Raw genomic sequence first — 25,324 nt, forward strand, 5'->3', positions numbered from 1 at the left:
TTAATCTATGTTTAGTTCTAACACTTCAGAATTTCCATTTATTTCTTAATTTATAAAAAATTCTACTTAGGTTAGGCCAGGTGTGGTGGCTTATGCCTGTAATACCAGCACTTTGGGAGGCCAAGGCGGGTAGGATCACTTGAGGTCAGGAGTTCGAGACCAGCCTGACCAACATGGTGAAACCCCCCCATCCCTACTACAAATATAAAAATTAGCTGGTTGTGGTGTCACACACCTGTAATCCCAGTACTCAGGAGACTGAGGCAGGAGAATTGCTTGAACCCAGGAGGCGGAGGTTGCAGTGAGCTGAGATCCCACAGAAAGTGGACCTTAAGTGGTAATGTGAGCTATGGGGAGTGACTGTACATACAGATGAAGTTTTACCCACTCACCCACCACTCACCTCCCGCTTTGTGGCCACTGCACTCCAGCCTGAGCAATAGAGTGAGATTCTGTCGCAAAAAAAAAAGAAAAAAAGAAAAGAAAAATTCTAATTAGGTTAAGCACTCAAGGGTTTCCATAAAATTTTCATTTTTAATCCAACATTATTAAAATTATCAAATTTTTTATCAATTTCAGTTTATAAATAACATGAATTTTTACATTAATGATAGTGATAAGATGGATATATAGAATCCATAAGTAATCCAAAACCTTATTTCAACCAATGTCCTACTTTCCACGCTATTTATGAGTACTAATAAGAAATATTATAATTTCCTATATTGATATTTTTATGTTCTATTTCCTCTGACAAAGACTGAAAGAATTATGAATATCAAAAATTCAGGATAAGTTATGTCAAGTCAAATAATTTGTTTCCAGCTGTAAGGGATTATTAAATTTGTGGTTAAAACATTTAAAGTTTGAGTAAATTTTTTCCTTTTTGTTAAAGTTTCGACGTCAGAGATAAATATTTGATTTGAATTCTTTGCACAGGTTACTTGAAGTGGTAAATTCCACAAATGGCCACAGTTTTTTGCAATTCTTTCTATAAAAAAGTGAAGTGGTTTCTCTATCTCTTTAATTCAAGCATGGCTAGTGGTTTACTTTGGCTAGAAGAACATGCCAGAAGTACTATTCAGTAAGTTCCAAGAATGGACTTCAAGAAGCTTTGCAATTTCTTCTCTTGCTCCTGAAATTCTGACACCATCACATGAATGATCTCTGACCAGTGTAGTGAAAGGTTGAAACAATGTCAGAAGCTTATCATTCCTGTTTTCCTCATAAAACCATCATAAAGGAGCCAGCCCCAGCCAATATACAAAATGATCATAGACACTTGCGAAAGGTTTGTCAAGATTAGCCAAGTGTAGCCCAGACCAGAAGAACTGCCCAGTGGAGGCCAGCCTGGAATCATAAACAAAATACATAGAAATTTTAAGCTATTAACTTGTGGGGTAGTATGTTATGAAGCAAAGGCTAACTGATGAAGTTGATAAAACTTTTATGTACTATAGATTTCATATTAACAAAAATGTTGACATCTATAATGTTGATGATCTGTTCTGGAATATTGTAGAATCGAACTATTAATTCAATGACAAAATTCCAAAAATGGCTAGAAGAGTACCATCATAAAAATACATAACTATAAATCTGTATCTCTCATTTGTTGAATTTGGCCACAGTTAGTGTCAGTTATTGTGCTCCTGGGAATATGTCATTTCCTTTCTACATCTGTCTTTGCACATCCAGGTACTTATTGGGGGAAGTCTTCTTATCCTGTAGGACAAAGTTAATGACATAGACATGTAAAGGGGAAGTCAGGTGCGGCTGTAGGAAAGTAGTTGTATGAGACTAGAGATAAATTAAGCATTACTTTCCTATCACTCTGGTAATGGTCTCAAATCTCTGTGGGCCTTCTATTTCATGTGCTGTAGATTATAAAACATGGGACAGAAATTCTAACTTTATCCAGGCTCAGAAGAAAATAGTACTTGCTTATGCAGGGTGTACTGTTTTTACAAGCCATTTCTGAGATGGGAAACTATTAGGTCAGTGCAAAAGTGATTGTGGTTTTTGCTATTACTTTTAATGCAACAAAGTTCTACAACATCTAGTAAAATTAGAGCTTTGATATTAAATTAATCCCATGAATTTTCACAACCTGATTGTTTTGAGTGTGTTTATACTGCAGAAATTTCATCAATAACTTCATGTGATACAATTGATCCTTGGCCAGGGAGATACTGACTTCCAAGAGTACTGTTTTCCATAAGTACTGTCTTCTATTTTTAGCCTAAGTTAGGGTGGGACACCCTGAATTAAAAGTCATTGATGCATTAATGATATCACCTCATGTTTATCTGTTAGGTAATAGTCTTGAAAACATTTCCATTTAATTGTCACAAAAGTTCTGTTTTACCTCTAGAAATTTATTCCTTCTTTCTTTTTCTCTTCCTTTCTTCTTTCCTTTCTCCCTCTCTTCCTTTTTTCCTTCCTTCCTTCCTTTGACTCTTTCTTTTCTTTTCCTTTCTTTTTTCTTTTCTTTTCTTTTGTCTTTCCTTATTTCCTTCCTTCTCTCTTTCTCTCTTCTTTCTTTCCTTTGTATCTTTCTCTCTTTCTTTCCCATTGCATTAGCCCATTTTCACACTGTTATAAAGACATACCCGAGACTGGATAATTTGTAAAGGAAAGAGGTTTAATTGACTCACAGTTCCACATGGCTGGAGAGGGCTCAGGAAACTTATAAACATGGCAGAAGGCAAAGGGGAAACAAGGACCTTCTTCACAAGGCAGCAGGAAAGAAAGAGGAAAGCCCAGGGGAAACTGCCATTTACAAAACCATCAGATCTCGTGAGAACTCACTCATTATCACTTGAACAGCATGGAGAAGACCGCCCCCATGATTCAATCACTTCATACCAGGTCCTTCCCTTGACACATGGGGATTGACGGGATTACAGTTTAAGATGAGATTTGGGTGGGGACACAGCCAAACCATATCACCAATGTTAGAAAAAAATGAGAAAGTAGAGCTGAAATACCTAGTTTATTAATTATACTGAATATGACCAAAATAAGCAAGAAACACTGAAAGACTGAAAGCTAATATGGAAAAAAAATCAGACAAATATTAACTAAAGTAATACGCATATTGCTACAGTAACTACAAAAAAAAAGCCTTAAGGTAATATATATATACCAGAAAAGGTCTGGTGGAGTGCACCTGTAGTACCAGCTACTCGGGAGTCTGAGGCACAAGAATCGCTTGAACCCTGGAGGTGGAGGTTGCAGTGAGCCGAGATCACGCCATTGCACTCCAGCTTGAGCTACAGAGTGAGATTCAGTCTCAAAAAAAAAATCACAAAATATATAGAAATTGTTGATTAATTCAAACACACTAAAAGAATAAAAAAGCTTTTATTTACAAATAGTCAACATAAAGACGGTGAAAAGTCAAGCCATACGTAGAAAAATACACTTGTTGCATAAATTTGATGAAGTGTTTATTTGCAGAATATGTAGCAACCACAGATGTTCCCCCAACTAGTGATGGTTCTACTTACATTTCAACTTTATGGTGGTGTGAAAGTGATACTCATTCAACAGAAACTATTTGAAATACCCATACAACTGTTATACTTTTCAATTTCAGTATAGTATTCAAAAATTACAGGAGATATTCAACACCTTATTATAAAATTAGCTTTGCGTTCAATGATTTTGCTCAACTGTAGGCTAAGTGTTCCTAGCACGTTTAAGGTAGGCTGTGCTAAGCAATAATGTTTGGTAAGTTAATATTTTTAACATGATATTTTAAATTTACAATGGGCTCATCAGTATGTAATCACATTGTAAGTTGAAGAGTATTGGTGTAAACATATTTTTTGCAAAAAAAAAAATCCACTATGTGGGCAAAGATCTCAAAAAACACATCAATAGGTAAACTAAAAAAGAAAAAAAAATGTAAAATTATGCTTGAAATTACAAGCAATCAGAGAAATGCAAATAAAAGCAAAATTGAGATACCACATACCAGACTGAAAAATATTAATCTAACTATATTGGCAAGGATGAAAAACAAAAGTGCTTTTCATGAAGTAATTGAGTTGCTACATTCCTACTTCTCTTTTTATAACTTTAAAACACTAAATAGTAATACAATCAACAAATGTTAGGCTAGATTCCCCAAAAAACAAGACTGAAAGAGGAATTAACATCTAGAAAGATTATTAGGAGAGTTCACTGTGTAACCACACCTGTGAATGGCTAAATAATGTTGGGCAGTGGAAGAAGTTGAATTATTATAAAGTAACAAAAGGCTTCAGTCCATCACCCAAAAAGCTCTGAAACAAGAATGTCACTTCTAAGTTGTACGGAATGTAGGCAAAGGGAGCTGTAACTTTTTTGTTTGTTTGTTTAGACAGGGTCTCTCTCTGTAGCCCAGGCTTGAATGCAGTGGTTTGAATACAGCTCACTGCAGCCTCAACTCCCTGGGCTCAAGTTATCCTCCTGACAAAGTCCCCCAAGTAGCTGAGACCCTAGGCACATGCCACAATGCCTGGCTAATTTTTAAAATTATTTGTGGAGACGTGCTTTGCCATGTTGCCCAGGCTGGTCTCGAACTCCTGTGTTCAATCCATCCATCCGTGTCAGCCTCCCAAAGTGTTGGGATTATAGGCATGAGCCACTGCACCAGTCGGGGCAGTGACTTTCTTGCTGGACACAAATCAGTCATTGGATGAAGGCTGCCCGTGCAGAGATAGTAAGGCAGATTCCTTGTTCTAAGGGAGATTTGGAGAGAAAGACTGAGCTATCAGAAACTAACACTGCTGGCATCTCTGTACTAAGAATCTTGGTACTGAAGGGGGAATCTAGGCAGTCTAATACAGCATTATTTACTACAGTCCACTTAAATCCCCTCAAATCCACTCTATATGTATAATAAGTTTACCCTATCTGGTAATATCTCCTCTAATATTCTAGGTGATCATTTTTTTTAAGGAAAGTAAAAGAGAAGTACTAACGGAAAAGCTTTAGCCCTATCACTACAGACAATGGTTACACTTTTTTTTTTTTTCCTGCAAGTTTCTTGGTACAGGGAACCAGAAGTCATTGTGTAGTACCATAATAGAGTTTATCGAGTCTTTTATTTTGACCTCTGATGGAAGAATTCGCACTCTGTCAACTGGAATGTCTAAAGCCAAAGAGCCAAAGCTGTGAGAATAGAATGTACAAGTTCAAGTGCGTAGCTGAGAGTGATGATAAATCAAGCCACTCCTACTTTTACTCATTATTTCTCTCATCACATTTTTTCACTCATATTTTAAGAATAGACATTGTAGCCATAGATAACAAAGTATCAACTACTATAATTCATTTAGCATTTATTTATACTGTGTTCTGGAAAATGGCTATCCATCCTGGCAGAATTTATCTCCAACCTGGAGCCCCAGCTTCAAAATTCTGTTGCATCACTTTTATTAGACTGGAAACTTTTGGATGAAGCATTGTGTAGATCCTATATGCAGGTGTCTACTACCACCATACCTATTTTGCTGTGAATAGTCTTCCACATTTTGATACAGCAATATGCAGAATCCTTTCTTGGTGATTAAACATTCTCTAAGGACTTGGAAAATAGTTCTGGAAAGCAGTAAGACTTGCACTTGATCTCCCCTAGTATTTTCGCTTTTATCTATACGCTAGGAATCAAGATAGAGCTCTAACAACTATTAAGTGTCTCCATTTAAAATTTATGTCAGCAACTAGAGAAATGACCACTCAGTGGGTCCATCAAATCAGTTAATCCACTGTGAAATGGACCTGGACCAAGATTCTATTTATGGGCCACCATAAACCCCAACTCTAACAGAGAATCAAGATAATGCTTTGGATACCTGGGTACCAATGTCAGTTCAGACAAAGAATCAAACCATCTTCAAAATGTTTGAATATTCCCCTTTCTTCAGTGTAATGATACCCTAATAAATAGCTGTAGGTCTCTTGGGGGAAAAAAAACCCTGAAGAATCTTTACTGTACATAATGGCTATAGTGTTTTCATTCATTGGGTTCCATGTATGAACACTTGCTCAGAACTAGAAACTGGACAAGAAATAGTGACTTTTGGAGGGTTTTAACCTCAGTTTCCTGAAAATTCTTCTTTAATTTTTTATAATATAAATTGTGCAATACCCATTCTGAACACTGTACAATAAAGTGGAACTCATTTATTCAGTAGTTGAGAAGGAAGAGTTCAGAATTCTGGGCGCTGAAACAGCTAGAACTGTGGGCCAGGTTACCAGAAAGGGGACAGCCTAATAGATAGGAAGCTTATGAGAATTCATGAGGATTACCTGCTGTTTTTTGGTCAGGAGCTAAATTGTAGAAGCAAAATGTGAGGCCCTGCATAGCCTAGCAGAGATTGCCTCCTACACGTCTGAAAACTGAATGGTGATGCCAGAGTGCTGCAACAAACTGGAGTTACAATCCAGGTACAGTGGAGACACTTCACTGAGAATTTTGGTCAATTACTTGAGTTCTGCAAGGCTACATCTCATGAGTACTGATGCCCCATTACAGAAAGAACTATACCATAAAGATAAATAAATAAAACCATGCCTGAAACATACATAAAATTCACCAGTGATTTAACAGTTTTCCATAACATATTTCAACACCCTGTAAAGGAAGACCACTTAATCTAGACTTTCTGTTATGTACTGAACCACTCACAGTGTTTACTAAAATTATAAATTACTATGCCTGAAAGAAACAAGGGAGGGTAATCCACATGAAGAATATAAAAAGCAGCCAATAAAAACAAACCCAAAGATAACCCAGATGTTGGAATTAGCAGACAAGGGCTTACAGGAGCTCTGTTCAAAGATTTAATGAAATACGTGGTCATAGTGAGTGAGCAGGTTGGAGATTATGGATGCATATTGTAATCCCTAGAGAAGGCATTAAGAAAAAGAAGTATGAAGAGGAATAACTGAAAAACTGACTTAGTGAGTGAGCAGGTTGGAGTATGGGAATAGAAAATAAACAAATGGATATTCTAAAGCTGAAAAGTACTATATCTGAAATGAAAAAAATACTGTTTTGATTTAATAGCAAATAAGATATCACAGAATGAAGAGTTACTGGGGTAAATATATATCAAAATAAATTATTCAATCTGAAGATTGAATAGAGAAAAGAGATTACAAATTAATAACCAGGGCCTTTGTGCCATGTGAACAAGTATCAAGCAGTTTACTAGGAATTTTAGAGGACAGGATAGATACAGCAAAAAACATATTTCAGAAAACCATCATCAAAAAGTTTCCCAAATTTGGTGTAAAAATCAAGTTAATATTCAAGAAGTCCAAGGAATCCAAAGAATAATAAATATAAACAGATCCACAGTATAACTCTTGTAGTCAAACCTCTGAAAAACAGAGAAGAAAAAATATTTCAAAAGCACCTACAAACAAATATACAGGGAAAGAACAGTAAGAATTATTGCTGACTTTTTAGGAGAAAATCTGGAAGACAATGAAACATCTTTGAGGTGCTAATAGAAAAAAGAACTCAGAAGTCTATATTAAGTGATAATATCTCATGTAAATGAAGGCTTAATGTTAACATTTTCAAATAAACAAAAGCTGAGAAAATAAGTCACCAACAGATCTATTCTACAAGAATGATAAAGGGAGTTTTTGAGGTTTATGAGGAATGACACTACGTAGAAATCCATACAAGAATAAATGAAAAGCACCAGAAGTGCTAAATTGGTGGGTAAACATTAAAAGAAAAAAAATTATATTTGCTTCAAAACAGCATTTTAAAGTAGAAATAAGAACACTCTATTGTGATGTTTATTACATACATAGATTTAAAGTATATGATGACAATACTCAAAAGAATGGAGTGCAAATGGAATGTTACTCTTGTAAGGTTATTACACTTCATGTGAAGCAGCACAGTATTATATTAACTTGAAACAGACTATGTCAGATTAAGGATGCATATTGTAATCCCTAGAGACAGCATTAAGAAAAAGAAGTGCAAAACGGAATCACTGAAAAACTGACAGGAATTTAAAAAGTAATTTTTAAAAACTAGCTTACATGGTTGAGTTGGGTTCAAAGGTGAGGAGAGTGAGACAGAATTTGATGAACTGTAGTATAAGCAACTTAATTAAAGTAGAGGTGAGTAATTAAAAATATTTTCAGCTGATTTCTCCTTTTCATTGTTGCATTTTTACTCTTCAATATACTGTATTACCAGCTAATTTGTGAACTCTTTGTTAGTTTTCTTTTCTTTTGGAGTTGTCAGCAGTGTCATATTATGAATGAAATAAGGCTTGATATGTAATAGTTATGTTTGCCAAACATGAAGAGCTGAATCCTTGGTGCCAAGATGTTTGTCAAGAGCCAAGAAAGCATCTGTGTTAACAATTATGAGATGTAAGGCACAAAATGCCAAAAATCTATTAGAAGAAAAAAAAGATTGCTTGATGAAATCTCTGAAGAAAAATACCTGTGAATACAAGGCAAAGGATCCATTTGTAGGCCCACTCATTTGAAGCTCCTGATAACATTAACCCTATAATGGTTAATGGAAAGAGGCTGAACTTGAAGGAAGGCTGCGAAAGATGCTAGAATACAGATAGGATTTTAAACTTTTGAAAACATTTACTTACTGCAACTTGGCTTGAGATATTCTAACTATTTTGATGATGTTGTGGGGAATGGCTTATGTCAATAAATTTATATAAGACTCTGGAAGTCAAAGTAACCAACAGAATGATCCTTGCTATGTTACTCAAGAATCTCAGAGAGACTATAATCCTATAGAGAATCACCCTTAGAAGAGGACAAATAAAACCCTTACTGCAAGCCCCACACCTGAAAGTTTCCACACTTTGGACTAACATCCTTAATATTTCCCAAGTTCTCTTATGGTTCTTGAAACCATCCAGGGCCATCCAGGCATGCTAAGTCCAGACCAGGGCCCATGTGGACCACAGTCTCTGTTTTTCCCCTTTTGAGTGTTCTCCAAACCTCCATTCTGTGTGTGGTCTTGACCAAATGGTGTGAGTAGTCTGAGATTTTCAGCTATACTAACTATGCTTGAGCCCTGGTTCCTGGGACATGGTTTAGCAAATGGCTCACTCCTGCTGGCCGAAGTAGTATTTCTGTAATGGTGTATTGTGAGATTGGCCCTAGAATCATACTCATATGATAATTTTTGATGACTCACTCATGTTGAACACAAGCCAAGATCAATGCTATTGGCTGTCATTGGTTTATCATCAAATCTTGGCCTTGAACTCTATGTATGGCTCTGTGCATGGGTTATCCTTTGTACATATTTTAACCACAGCATCAACTTTAGTCAACAATACAGAAGGGAGATGGGAGTAGCAGTTAACATTCTTTACTCTGTGAACCTCTGCCAATGGCACACAGAGTGGTCATCCCACCGTTCTGCAGACTCCACATTACATGTTAAGTTATTTTCTAGTGGTGCCCATTAGAAGGCTTTTGAAATGATAGCTCTGTGATGCTAATGGTCTCTTCCAATTGATGTTCTCTATTGTCTTTAATCTGTGTAGTAATGTCATGTTCTTCTGGGTACATTTAAGACTTGCCTGTTGAAGAACAGCCAATGAGACAACTCTTCTTGCACTGCCAACAGGCCCCTTATCTTTTATCCCCACTGTTGGCAGTATATGTAGGCAGGGGTGCAGTCTGTATTGAAAGAGATTATCTCTTAGGAGTGCAGTCATTATTGCCTACGAGTTCAAGAGAAGACATCACTGAAAATAAGTTGTTCTAAGTTTATACTATTCAATTCCTAGTAGTAAATTTACTAAGAGCAGAAAATTAATGACAATTTATGAAATTATAATTATATCACATAAGCTATCATTACATTTTCTGCTTGCTCTAAGACTTGCATGAGTATCATTACCAGTGAAATACTTTGAGAAAGGCATTGTAAGCCAGTATTCACAGCAGCATGATGGATGACATGGAACCATAAGAAATGACTAACCAGCATTAAATAAGTGGTATAAGAATTGCAGAGGTGAAAAGACCTGCATTGTTTTAATATTAATAGATTCCAAACAGCCATGTCATTGTCAGTAAGAAGTGTTGCTGCCTTTTTCTTGTAATGAGAGATATAAAATTATCCAAGAATTGCACTTTGACAATAAAGAACGAAAAGAAATGGTTCCTCAATCTAAATGAGAAAGGATAGTGTCTAAACACTACGAAGAATCCTCTTGCACTGCTTGGCAATTGTAAAAATGTATGTGCTTCTTCTTTATTCACTGCTCTAAATTATCATCATCATGCCTTATAGAGACTCATGAATTTTGCAAATTTTTAAATCAAATTATTTATTTCAATCCCACCAAAAAATATTTTCCTGCTGTCCCATATATTCTAGCAGTGGCCCTACTTCTTGGAAAAGGCTGCGGCAGAGGATGGGCATAAGAAAGTGAGAGAAGAGTAGAATGAACAACTATTTTTGAGTGTCTGTACTAGATGTTTTATATTACCTACTCATTTAATTATCACAATTGCTTATAAAATAGACATGAATCTATTGCTTACTAAGAAACAGTACACAAAAAGGTTAAACAATTTGTTCAGCATCATACAACTAATAATGAACAGAACCAGATTTAAAATCCACATCTGTGTCACTGTGTAATTTTTCATTTATGATATACTAGGTAATGTTTAGAGCTAAGACAAATAATTTACTTCTATCAAGAAGAGTTTATTTCAACAAGATAATTGGTACAACAAGAATCCAACATTAAAGACATTTCAGCAATAGTCTCTACAACTGTGTAATTTGTCCTTGTGATTTTCAAAGAGTCCTTTTAATCTTTCTTGGCATTCTTCCCTTTTTTAAAAAAACTCGTTAGCAATGTAAAGCAAACTTTAAAGTAGCAGTATCTAGCTCCCTAAGGAGGGAATATAACAATGACTTTACTTGTGACTTTGCTGCCTTCAGTGAGAATAGGTCCATTGAACACCAATTTAAAGAGTAGGGTTAATGTAGTTATAGGAAAACTCATCAAGGAAAATGATGATCTTTAATTCTAACTGCTCAATTAAATAGAACAACTGAAAAAGCCCCAACCTATTTGGTGTCCAGGTAAAAATAAATGTAGGCCGCAGAAAATTTTTTAAATTCCTGATTGATTTTTCTATAATCTCCAAGTTGTTTACTTCAGGGCAAATAATCTTTTATTTTGGCCACTCATAACACAAAGAGATGACAAAGATGTAGATAACCCTAGTCACCAGACACTGTTCTAAATGCTTGATATGTATATTATTTTATGTAATCTTTATATCTTTCTAATGAGAAAAACACTATTACTATTTTTATTGCCATTTTGTTGAAGAGAAAAGTGAGAATGAAAGTCTCTGTCACTTCTCTAAGGTCACACAAAGTTTAATGGCAGAGTAGAATTTTAATCCAGCTAATCAGGCTTTAGAGCCTATTCTTTAATCACTACCCAATACAGCCTCTCCGTACAGTACAGTGGGGATGAGCACAGATTCTGGAGCCAGATATCCTGAATTCAAAATACAGCTTCACTACATACTAAGTATGTGACTTGGAGCTTAATTTCTCTCAGCCTCAGTTTCCTAATTTGCATAATGGAATGATATATTATACAGATCCTTACCAGGATTAAATTAGGTAGTCCATGTAGAGCACTTGGCTCAGTGCTCAATAATTGCAAGTATTCAATCATTATAAGCCATGATTATGGTAATGAAGTAGCTCTTCCCCTCTATTAGATAAGAGGGGTGAGAAAGATTCAATGAGAGATAGCCTAATTCTTTTGTAACATAAGATGGACAGAGAAACAGCCAATATATGGGTATTTTAACATATAAATAATACATATCCTTAACCTTAGAGTTATGATTTTAAGAAAGATCTCAAAAATACTGTACTGTTCATTCATGGAAATTATAATGTTATATTTTATCTAATCCAAGAAGCTATTGATAAGATGTCCCATTACCATTTATTATACAACATTAGCAAAATGCTCCCAATTACATTGTGATAAATGGCTTTTCGCTTATAATTTTATTGAAAACATCATTTTGTATTCAGACAGGTTTTTAACGTATATCACATAAGAAAAATGTTAGTAAAACCATTTAATTCATTTATTAAAAACTTTGTTAATGTTGGACTCTATTGGTTTTCAAAACAATATTGTTCTCTGTCCCATCAAAATAATTGGTGAGGCAGCATTTCTTAAAAGAGTCTTGTATTCTAGTCTTCCAAGATTTTCTTTCAAGTTGCTGACACCCAATCTAAAAGTTGTGATGCAGGTGTTTTTTCTATTTTAGTAAGCTCATACTTTTATTTTTTCTCAATTCAATTACATTTTGTTAAAATTGTAGTAGGATCTGTTTGAAGACAACAGACTGTTAACAAATTGATGTTTCAATACGCTAACAGTTATCTTGTGTGATACATTAATATGGTCATAGCAGCCTCCTTTTGCTTTCAAATTTGTTTTATCTACTTCAGTGGATTTGGCAATTTTTCCAGTTTCAAGTGCACCATTAAGTGTATAGTAACAATAGGTCTAGTTCCAACAACACATGTAACTTAACGAGGTGAGTAAAATATAAACTGCTATGCCAGGTTTAGATGTGTACAGGCACCGACTATTATGTCACAACTGAGACTTAGTTGACAATAGTTGTAAGATGCATATTAGCTTCAGATATATTAATATTTGGAAAAAATAAATATCTTCAATTTGATGAAATGTGGTACCTTAATTTACTACATTGCTTATCTGATTATATAAACACATCTGTCACATCCTTCACTACCTTCACTATTGATAGCTTTGCATACTTAACAGGAACATATTTAGCATTCCCAAACTTCATGGAATAGAGATAGCTAGTATCCAGTCACTGTGGTATCAAGAGACATACTGTCTACTAACTCATATGCAAAGAATCAAAATAAAAGCTTATGAGCTGTATTTAATCAAAAGTTGACCTTTTGTACGTCATATTTATATTCAGACCTCCTTCTAACATCCTACACCCATCAATGAACTTAATTGTTCTGTGTTTTGAAGAAATATAATATACCGTGAGAGTATGCCCAGTTCTTTCTGTATCTGTAAGGAAATAATAATAAGCCTTACATTAGAGGTTCAAGGTTGTATTGCAAATTTCAAAAACTGGGATCATTTAGTCATCAATCTTTTGCTCTTTCCTGTAAAATCTGCTGAAAAGGCTTACACAAAGTTTAGAACTTGAATTCAATTGGATCTTTACATCTAAGCAATAATTTTTTGAAGAATGAACATTAAGATATGTATCCTCTTAAAATCTTCACATTTATATTGTTTGCTCCAATTGTTAAAGTTCTCCTTTAATATTATTTGTTTTCTGAATATGCTGCTACTTTAATACTATTTGTACTCTGAGTACACCATGCAGAAGCAATCAAAGGCAGTATAATTTTTCAAAGTAGCTACACGATTTACAGATAATAGAGGCTAGAGATTAAAGAACAAAAGGAACATCCTGATTAAAACTGAAATGTCAAATTTAAATCTTTAACAATCTTTCTTAACAAACTAAGTCATTCTCTGTTCTTAAACACAAGGAGACAAGCATTCTACAAGAATTTGGTCTATAATTACATTTTTAAGTACTTTTTTTATACTGATGTTTTATTTTGTCTCTGGTATTTATCTCTTCCAAGTATTTTAGCTTTCCCAATTATTTTAGAAATTAGAGTCTTTTAATATTTAAAATATTTTAGGTATTTCAAGGAACTTAAGAAATTAGAGGGAATATATGCAGTAAATCTCTGTTCATGCATTTATCGATGCATCTTAATATATTTATTAGACAGTATTTTGTTATAGGTTGTGAGAAATATAAAAATATATAATTCTAAATATCTGTAGCAAGAAAACCCAAGAAGATGAACAGTGAAATTATATGGTGCAAAATATGATGAGATATAATTTTAAGATTGCTTTAAGAATTAAAAGACCTTTTCATGTATGTTGTGTTAGAACCATATCAGTTACAATTAGGTTTGACTTTATAACAGAGATTCAGTTTCAATGACTGAAGACAGTGGTGGTTCATTTCTAACCTAGGCCTTCCAAGGACATTCTAGGGAACATCTTCATTTCTGTCAACCATAAGACAAAAAGGAGCACAGAGGATCACTTGTAGAAGGGTTTTATGAGCCAGACCTGGAAGGAGCACAGATCACTTTCATATTCCACTGGCTAGAACTTAGTCACATGACCACTTTTAACTTCAATGAAAATGAGGAATGTCTGTCAGCTGAGAAGGAAGAAGAGGCTGTGGTTTAGGCTGGCACTTAGAAGTTATGTCACTTTTCCTTAGAGGATTTTTGTGATCATTAAATGAATTAATACATATGAAGCACTTAAAAGACCATCGAGGATAGGAAGAAACTGCATCAACTAATGAGCAAAATAACCAGCTAACATCATAACGACAGGATCAAATTCACACATAACAGTATTAACCTTAAATGTAAATGGGCTAAACGCTCCAATTAAAAGACACAGATTGGCAAACTGGATAAAGAGTCAAGACCCATCAGTGTGCTGTATTCAGGAAACCCATCTCACGAGCAGTGACACACATAGGCTCAAAATAAAAGGATGGAGGAAGATCTACCAAGCAAATGGAAAACAAAAAAAGGCAGAGGTTGCAATCCTAGTCTCTGATAAAACAGACTTTAAACCAACAAAGATCAAAAGAGACAAAGAAGGCCATTACATAATGGTAAAGGGATTAATTCAACAAGAAGAACTAAGTATCCTAAATATATATGCACCCAATACAGGAGCACCCACATTCATAAAGAAATCCTTAGTGACCTTCAAAGAGACTTAGACTCCCACAAAATAATAATGGGAGACTTTTACACACCACTGTCAACATTAGACAGATCAACGAGACAGAAAGTTAACAAGGAAATCTAGGAATTGAACTCAGCTCTACGCCAAGCGGACCTAATAGACATCTACAAAACTCTCCACCCCAAATCAACAGAATATACATTCTTTTCAGCACCACACCACACCTATTCCAAAATTGACCACATAGTTGGAAGTAAAACACTCCTCAGCAAATGTAAAAGAACAGAAATTATAACAAACTGTCTCTCAGACCACAGTGCAATCAAACTAGAACTCAGGATTAACAAACTCACTCAAAACTGCTCAACTACATGGAAACTGAACAACCTACTCCTGAATGACTACTGGGTACATAACGAAATGAAGGCAGAAATAAAGATGTTCTTTGAAACCAACGAGAACAAAGACACAACATACCAGAATCTCTGGGACACATTCAAAGCGGTGTGTAGAGGGAAATTTATAGCACTAAATGCCCAAAAGAGAAAGCAGGAAAGATCTAAAATTGGCACCCTAACATCACAATTAAGAGAACTAGAGAAACAAGAGCAAACAGATTCAAAAGCTAGCAGAAGGCAAGAAATAACTAAGATCAGAGCAGAACTGAAGGAAATAGAGACACAAAAAACCCTTCAAAAATCAATGAATCCAGAAGCTGTTTTTTTGAAAAGATCAACAAAATTTATAGACTGCTAGCAAGACTAATAAAGAAGAAAAGAGGGAAGAATCAAATAGAAACAATAAAAAATGATAAACGGGACATCTCCACTGATCCCACAGAAATAGGAACCACCATCAGAGAATACTATAAACACCTCTACGCAAATAAACTAGACAATCTAGAAGAAATGGATAAATTCCTCAACACATACACCCTCCCAAGACTAAAATGGAAGAAGTTGTATATCTGAACAGACCAATAACAGGCTCTGAAATTGAGGCAATAATTAATAGCTTACCAATCAAAAAAAAGTCCAGGACCAGATGGATTCACAGCTGAATTCTACCAGAGGTACAAGGAGGAGCTGGTACCATTCCTTCTGAAACTATTCCAATCAATAGAAAAAGAGGGAATCCTCCCTAACTCATTTTATGAGGCCAGCATCATCCTGATACCAAAGCCTGGCAGAGACACAACAAAAAAAGAGAATTTTAGACCAATGTCCTGCTGAAGATCGATGCAAAAATCCTCAGTAAAATTCTGGCAAACCGAATCCAGCAGCACATCAAAAAGCTTATCCACCATGATCAAGTGGGCTTCATCCCTGGGATGCAAGGCTGGTTTAACATATGGAAATCAATAAACGTAATCCAGCATATAAACAGAACCAAAGACAAAAACCACATGATTATCTCAATGGATGCAGAAAAGGACTTTGACAAAATTCAACAACCCATCATGCTAAAAACTCTCAATAAATTAGGTATTGATGGGACATATCTCAAAATAATAAAAGCTATCTATGACAAACCCACAGCCAATAACATACTGAATGGGCAAAAACTGGAAGCATTCCCTTTGAAAACTGGCACAAGATAGGGATGCCCTCTCTCCTATTCAACATAGTGTTGGAAGTTCTGGCCAGGGCAATCAGGCAGGAGAAGGAAATAAAGGGTATTCAATTAGGAAAAGAGGAAGTCAAATTGTCCCTGTTTGCAGATGACATGATTGTATATCTAGAAAACCCCATCATCTCAGCCCAAAATCTCCTTAAGCTGATAGGCAACTTCAGCAAAGTCTCAGGATACAAAATCAGTGTGCAAAAATCGTAAGCAGTCTTATACACCAATAACAGACAAACAGAGAGCCAAATCATGAGTGAACTCCCATTCACAATTGCTTCAATGAGAATAAAATACCTAGGAATCCAACGTATAAGGGATGTGAAGGACCTCTTCAAGGAGAACTACAAACCACTGCTCAATGAAATAAAAGAGGATACAAACAAATGGAAAAACATTCCATGCTCATGGGTAGGAAGAATCAATATCATGAAAATGGCCATACTGCCCAAGGTAATTTATAGATTCAATGCCATCCCCATCAAGCTACCAATGACTTTCTTCACAGAATTGGAAAAAACTACTTTAAAGTTCATATGGAACCAAAAAAGAGACCGCATCACCACGTCAAACCTAAGCCAAAAGAACAAAACTGGAGGCATCACGCTACCTGACTTCAAACTATACTACAAGGCTACAGTAACCAAAACAGCATGGTACTGGTACCAAAAAGAGATATAGACCAATGGAACAGAACAGAGCCCTCAGAAATTATGCCGCATATCTACAACTATCTGATCTTTGACAAACCTGACAAAAACAAGAAATGGGGAAAGGATTCCCTATTTAATAAATGGTTCTGGGAAACCTGGCTAGCCATATGTAGAAAGCTGAAACTGGATCCCTTCCTTACACCTTATAGAAAAATTAATTCAAGATGGATTAGAGACTTAAATGTTAGACCTAAAACCTTAAAAACCCTAGAAGAAAACCTAGGCAATACCATTCAGGACATAGGCATGGGCAAGGACTTCATGTCTAAAACACCAAAAGCAATGACAATAAAAGCCAAAATTGACAAATGGGATCTAATTAAACTAAAGAGCTTCTGCACAGCAAAAGCAACTACCATCAGTGTGAACAGGAAACCTACAGAATGGGAGAAAATTTTTGCAATCTGCTCATCTGACAAAGGGCTAATATCCAGAATCTACAATGAACTCAAACAAATTTACAAGAAAAAAACTAACAACCCCATCAAAAAGTGGGCAAAGGATATGAACAGACACTTCTCAAAAGAAGACATTTATGCAGCCAAAAGACACATGAAAAAATGCTCATCATCACTGGCCATAAGAGAAATACAAATCAAAACCACAATGAGATACCATCTCACAGCAGTTAGAATGGCGATCATTAAAAAGTCAGGAAACAGCAGGTGCTGGAGAGGATGTGGAGAAGTAGGAACACTTTTACACAGTCGGTGGGACTGTAAACTAGTTCAACCATTGTGGAAGTCAGTGTGGCGATTCCTCAGGGATCTAGAACTAGAAATACCATTTGACCCAGCCATCCCATTACTGGGTGTATACCCAAAGGATTATAAATCATGCTGCTATAAAGACACATGCACACGTATGTTTATTGCGGCACTATTCACAATAGCAAAGACTTGGAACTAACCCAAATGTCCAACAATGATAGACTGGATTAAGAAAATGTGGCACATATACACCATGGAATACTATGCATCCATAAAAAATGATGAGTTCATGTCCTTTGTAGGGACATGGATGAAATTGGAAACCATTATTCTCAGCAAACTATCGCAAGGACAAAAAACCAAACACCGCATGTTCTCACTCATAGGTGGGAATTGAACAATGAGAACACATGGACACAGGAAGGGGAACATCACTGAGGCCTGTTGTGGGGTGGGGGGAGGGGGGAGGGGGGGAGGGATAGCATTAGGAGATATACCTAATGCTAAATGATTAGTTAATGGGTGCAGCACATCAACATGGCACATGTATACATATGTAACAAACCTTCACGTTGTGCACATGTACCCTAAAACTTAAAGTATAATTAAAAAAAAAGGAAAAAATAATCCCTTATTAATAGTAAGTGCTCAATTAGTGTTTGTGATTATTATTTTCAATTATTTTCCCACACTCAAATTCCAGTTAACTTAGAATAACTAAGTCTTATTAAAAGCATTTTAAAGACAAAGAGTATTTCCATATTTCTTTTGCTTCCCATGGTATTGTTGATCCATAATAGTCATTTAAAAAGATCTAGTTGATAGACACGTAAATTTAACTTTGTATCAAATATTCACAGTTCCATTGACCATATTGTTACATTATTGTCTACCTAGACTTTTAATTACCCAAACATAAAAATGTCATATCATATTGATGTTACATATAAACTTTATGACAAATTAGAAGATAAACATGAATTGATATTTGGTAGATTAAGCATTTTATTTATAACATGTACAATAGTAGTATTATTTCTTTCCACTCCCTGACATTTTGATATAACAATTTAGAAAAAAAATGCCAAAACTAGTTTAATTAAGCTAGATAAAAAAGCGAAAAAGGAATTCATGAGAAAGTTTCTCTATTAAAGTGAATTTGCAATTGACAGCAAAGTACTAAAAAGCTCCATTTACTTAAATGTTTATCTTGTTAAATATTACCATCCTTGGAACTGGTGATTAAACAATTCTTCTAGGCAGTAGTTCAATATGGAAAGTAGTATAACTATATCTCATTTTGTCCTGCTAAAAAATACAGCATTATAAAGTTTACACATAGTACTCTGAAATCACAAACCATTAACTGTCTCAGCATGCTATTAAATGTTGCATTCTAATTCAAAATGTGTCTCTAATGATCTCCTAAATGAACTTATCTTAAGTAAATTAAATAGTAACTAAAAGCATTTGTTTGGTAAACACAATATGTGAAAGATATTTAATAGAAAGTAACATGTACAGCAATCACTAAATCAAAAAAAACCACAGAGCTGAAGTTTTTGAAGCTATAAAAACTATACATAATTTTTGAAAGCTTAATTTTAAAGGACAAGTTATGACTTTCGTTTTTTTGTTTTTTCTGAGACTGAGTCTTACTCTGTCACCCATGCTCGAGCGCGGTGGCGCAATCTTCCCTCACTGCAACCTCCACCTCCCAGGTTCAAGTAATTCTTCTGACTTAGCCTCCCGGGTAGCTGGGACTACAGGCGTGTGCCACCATGCCTGTCTAATTTTTGTATTTTTAGTAGAGACGGGGTTTCACCATGTTGGCCAGGATGGTCTTGATATCTTGACCTAGTAATCCACCTGCCTCGGTCTTCCAAACTGCTGGGATTACAGGCGTGAGCCACCGCGCTCAGCCTAGCGATGACATTTTAAAAGTACCCTCACTATTGGTAAAATGGATAATAATTGATGTTGAACAAAAGTAAAGACAATCTGAGTAGGTCGATAACTCTTATGTGTGATCAATGGTCTTCAGCCAAAGACCACCAGAAACACAATTATAGTTGAACAAGTTAGGGTTATTACTTTTTGCAGTGAGAAAGAAGGGATAATATGGAGAATTATGGAACTTTGAAGGGGTTGTTACTAAAGACTTTGCTTAGGGGATTTGGAGGAGGGTCAAGCAGGAATGCCCTGGACTGGGTTCTGACAGAGGGCAGGGACAATTTTATGGTTGGGTATCTCAAAAAATCTAATCTATAGAAAAGGCAGAGTAAAGTGAGGCTATGGCTATAATTGTTAAAGAAGCAACAGTCAGCCGTATAGCTAGGAGAGGGAAGTGTTTGCTGACTTGCTTCTACGTTGTTCATGTTTTGTGTTTAGACATGATTACAAAGTGGAACTCTTTTTGTTTTACTCCATAATGGTCACAGAGTAGACTTGTCTGATGCTTGTGTTCTGTAAAATTGTTCTGTGCTTAACAGAACACTAAGACTTAACTGTGAATGTGGGGCCAGTGCGTAGAAACACCAAAGCCTGGTTGATAGTACCGGGTCAGCTCCCAGATGTCAAGGGCTAATTTTCCTTTCTTAGTATTGACTTATGAAATCAACTAATTGATTTTAATTGAGTAAACATATACATAGTGGCTTTGTTTTTACTGAATTTTATACTATATCTTCACTGCTATTGACACAGATGTGCTACTTAATAAGCAATATAGTTACAGTAAACTCAGTATTACTTTTCCTGTTTATTTTTTATTATAACTAATAATGAGATCTTAAAAAATCAGTTTTTGTAATATTGGATGGGCTTCCACTTTACACTTCGGATCATGTAGTGGGAATGTTATCATTAAAGTTAATAATCCAGTAAGATCTAAAAGCACATATGGAGAAAATAAGGGTGAGGAGAGACATGGATTTTTGATTTGCTTCAAAGAATCAAGGTTTAGACAAAGTAAAAATAACAAAAAGGATATAGGGCAGAAATAATTAATGGCTAACATCTCTTAGCTCTACAAATCAATAATATTAACTAAAATTTGAGTGCTTACTATGGATCCAGTTGCTGACATGCAATAACCCATTTAACTCTTTTAACAACAACATGAAATGAGTTCCAGCATTACCCTGTATTACAGATGAGGAAAAAGACAAGTTGCATAACTTACTGTAGGTCATCCAGGCTAATGTGTAACAGAAACAAATCTGTAATATGAAACCAAGTCTCTGTGACCTCAGAGCCAAGCCTTCAATCTTTATGCTAATGATTTTCCTTCTAAGGAGTTCCCACTAAGATCACCAATCATAGACTTTAAGATAATGAAGCATCAATATGCAGAGAGTATGCTGCCAGTCATTGATGAGGTAATTATTTTAGCCTAGATAGCACAGCACTATACTAGCATAACAAGTGTGAAGGCCATAAATAGTTTTCTGCTATAAAAGCCCAAGAGACTATCTACTGAGTTACCAGTCTGAAAGGACTCATCAAGTTATGTTTAGGCTATGTTAAAGTGATGGACTAAAGACAAATGATGCAACAAAAAATTAGTTTAATAGATCATGGTTAATTAGATCTTTCACAAAAATGTCTAGTACTTTTCATGATCTGCCTCTATTTCAAAGAGCAAAAGTCTAGTTAAAATAAAAGTACGAACCTAGATTTCTCTTCCTGGAGTTAAAATTAAATTTCAACAAGATTCATGTTCTCAGGACTATTATTTTTCATTTGTTCATCACTAGATCACAAGTAAAAATGATTAACAGAAGCAAAGTTGTAAAATGATATAATCCTTCCAGAAATTTGGAATAACTTGGCAAAATTCAAAAGCTTTACAAATCATACTGTGCTTACTTACTACATACTTTGAGAAATCTACCTCTCCTTCAAAAAAAGTAAAATATAAAATACAAACAAAAATTTTATTGATCTAAAGGAGATCATCATACCAATATCTGTATCATTGAAAACAGACCAAATGTGCAATATTAGAGGAATGGCTAAGTTAGTTATATAGCCAAATAATTTAATATGATGTAGTCATTTATAATTTGTCTTCTTTTCAGCTTTATTGAGATTTAATTGACCAATAATTATGGTATATATGTGAGAGGTACAGCTTGATGTTTTGATATATATGTATTAAATGTGTGTGTATGTGTGTGTGTGTGCGTGTATATATATAATATATATTGCGAAATAATTACCTCAACCAAGTTGAGGTATTAGACATTACCTATCTCTCTCTCTATATATATTTATATATATATATGCACACACATTGTGAAATAATTACCTCAGTCAAGTTAATTAACACTTTTATCACCTCATATAGTTATCATTTTCTCTTTTTTTGGTGAGAACATTTAAGATCTAGGAAATCTTTATTCTTTATATGTAGGTAACAAAAAAGTGTATATACACATATGTGTGTATACACACATAACTACAAAATGTGTACAAAGACTAGAGAGTACAGCATTTTAATCATTAATATATAATTGAAAGTTTATATTATGTAAATTCTCCTTAAAACTCTCCTTTCCTTTTATTTTTAACAAGTATACTAGACATATCTATAATTTCTTCTCCTAAACATTCATTTCTAAAATCTGCTATAACCACAGGTCCTAAAAGGACAGGCTTTATGACCTTGTCAACCACCTCCTTTTGTCCAACTATGGAAAATTCTCTGGCCCAAAGCCAGATTTACCATGGCAGGCCAGTGGTAAATCTGAGTCTTTCAAGAATTGAGCTGAGACAAAGAAATTTTAATCAATTACTAACAGGAATACATGCTGAGCAGTAATAACTTAGAGTTGTTACTGGTGGTTCCAATGAATATCATATAAATGAATAAGAAGATGGTGGGACAGAGAGAAAAACGGGGTTGCTAAGCAGAAGTTAGAAAACTAGAAAAAAGATTTTAGAGTCCACAGGGCTCCTAGGAATCACAGAGAGTGGTTTCAGTTCTTGATATCCCAAATCCAGTCCTCATGAGAACCAACATTACTTATTCCCATTCTTTGGAACACTGAGACATCTGTGGCTTTGTAATAAACAACTCTTCTTCAGTTGGCATAGTTTACATAGGTTTTGGTACCTTAAAACAAAAATAATTTGACAGAAAAAAACATATTACAGCACCTTAATATAAACACCCCTTCATATAAAAACAAGGAATTAGGATAACCAGCCAGCAAAGTAGAAGCCTCAATTTCTACTTTGAGTCCTGATGTTAATGTGTTTTCTTTTATATAACTAGTTGAAGTTTCATTTAAAGGTAGAAGAATGAGTCAGAGTGATTTGCATGTTAATCATTATATACTGGAGTAGGGGAACTCAGAAAGATTCCAAACATGAGAAGGATTCAATACACTGAAGCTGGCTCTGTGCTGTAGGTGTCCACATGCAATAACTGGGGAAGAAACATTCCCCTAGGAGTTAAGGATAACCACCAGCTGACAGCAAGTATAGGAATAAAGACATCAGTTCTACAACTGTAAGGAACTAGATTCTGCTGACAACCTGAATAAGCTTGGGGGTGGTTTCTTCCTAGAGTTTCCCCTAACTGCCCAGCCAGCCAATACGTTGATTCTGGCCTTGTGAAATCCAGAGCAGAGAAACCAGCTGAGCCATTCTTGACATCTGACCTATAGAATTGTGAAATAATAAATTTGTATTGTTTTAAGCTACTAAATTTGTGATAACTTGTTCTAGTAGCAATAGAAAACTAATGTCTTTATTTTATTTTATTATTATACTTTAAGTTTTAGGGTACATGTGCACAACGTGCAGGTTAGTTACATATGTATACATGTGCCATGCTGGTGTGCTGCACCCATTAACTCGTCATTTAGCATTAGGTATATCTCCTAAAGCTATCCCTCCCCCCTCCCTCCACCCCACAACAGTCCCCAGAGTGTGATGTTCCCCTTCCTGTGTCCATGTGTTCTCATTGTTCAATTCCCACCTATGAGTGAGAATATGCGGTGTTTGGTTTTTTGTTCTTGCGATAGTTTACTGAGAATGATGATTTCCAATTTCATCCATGTCCCTACAAAGGACACGAACTCATCATTTTTTATGGCTGCATAGTATTCCATGGTGTATATGTGCCACATTTTCTTAATCCAGTCTATGTTGGACATTTGGGTTGGTTCCAAGTCTTTGCTATTGTGAATAGTGCCGCAATAAACATACGTGTGCATGTGTCTTTATAGCAGCATGATTTATAGTCCTTTGGGTATATACCCAGTAATGGCATGGCTGGGTCAAATGGTATTTCTAGTTCTAGATCCCTGAGGAATCATCACACTGACTTCCACAATGGTTGAACTAGTGTACAGTCCCACCAACAGTGTAAAAGTGTTCCTATTTCTCCACATCCTCTCCAGCACCTGTTGTTTCCTGACTAAAAAAGGAAAGCTGCCCCCACCCCCCAAAAAAGAAATAAATAACACTGGTAAAGGTAACTACATGGATAAATATAAAAACAATGTAATTATATTTTTATTTGCAACTTTTTATACTATCTAATTTTAAAGACTATTGCATGAAGCTGTAATTACAAATCTGTGTTGATGGGTATACTATGTATAAAGATGTAATCTTGATGACAATAACAGCATTGAAGAGGGGAAGGAAATGGAGTTATGTCAGAGTAAAATTTGTGTACACTCTTATAATTAAGGTTGGAAATAGAGTGGTGAGATGTTCTTTGTGATCCCTAGTTTAAAGTAACTTTAAAAACTAGTAAAATAAATGACAATAGAATTAAAAAAAAAGAAAACTAATAAGTCATCTTAGACCATTCATCGCCAGCTGAACTTTCAGTTGACTGCAGCCTTTGAATATAAGGATCCAAACTATGCCTAGCTTAATTGATGATCCACAGAACTATTTGATATTTTCAGCTGCCAAGATTCTATGTGGTTTGTTAGGCAGCAATAAATAATTGATACAGACATAGGTACTGATAATTTGAGTTTGCAGTATTAAAATTGTAGAGCAAATGACATTGACTTTGGAATTGAGTTAAGGGTGGAGCCCTGAAAAGTAGAGATAAAACTATGGGTGAATGTTGAAAAATGGTAAGAAAATTGTTATAGGATTCTAGAAGTGGAAATCATATGCCTACTTGATATATCCTGGTGAAAATATGTATAGTGAGAAGAGTACAATCAGATCCCGGGAAAACATTTTAAGGTGTGCATACAGAAAGAATCTATGAGTAAAGGATATTGACAGATAATGTTTGAGGAAGTAGATACGTAACCAGGAAAGAGTGATTTAAGCAAATCAAGTAGGGGCCAGAAATTTGTTTGTGAGAAATTTGACAATATGTACTCCAGGCTTTAAAAATATGTGTAACTTTACAGTGGAATTCTAC

At 35.2% G+C, this 25,324-nt stretch overlaps 1 long non-coding RNA gene across 3 annotated transcripts in view; it reads right to left on the reverse strand.

Moving 5' to 3' along the window:
• Positions 1-25,324, reverse strand: part of RNPC3-DT (RNPC3 divergent transcript) — a 108,529-nt gene that overhangs the window by 51,959 nt on the left and 31,246 nt on the right. Inside the window, exon 2 of one of the 3 annotated variants that reach the window (NR_168319.1) lies at positions 404-452. The exons of the other annotated variants lie outside the window; for them this stretch is intronic. This is a non-coding gene — a long non-coding RNA (RNPC3 divergent transcript). The remainder of the gene's footprint in view (positions 1-403; positions 453-25,324) is intronic. 3 annotated transcript variants of the gene reach the window in all.

This window comes from Homo sapiens, chromosome 1 (genome assembly GCF_000001405.40).
Source record: "Homo sapiens chromosome 1, GRCh38.p14 Primary Assembly".
NCBI lineage: Eukaryota > Metazoa > Chordata > Mammalia > Primates > Hominidae > Homo > Homo sapiens.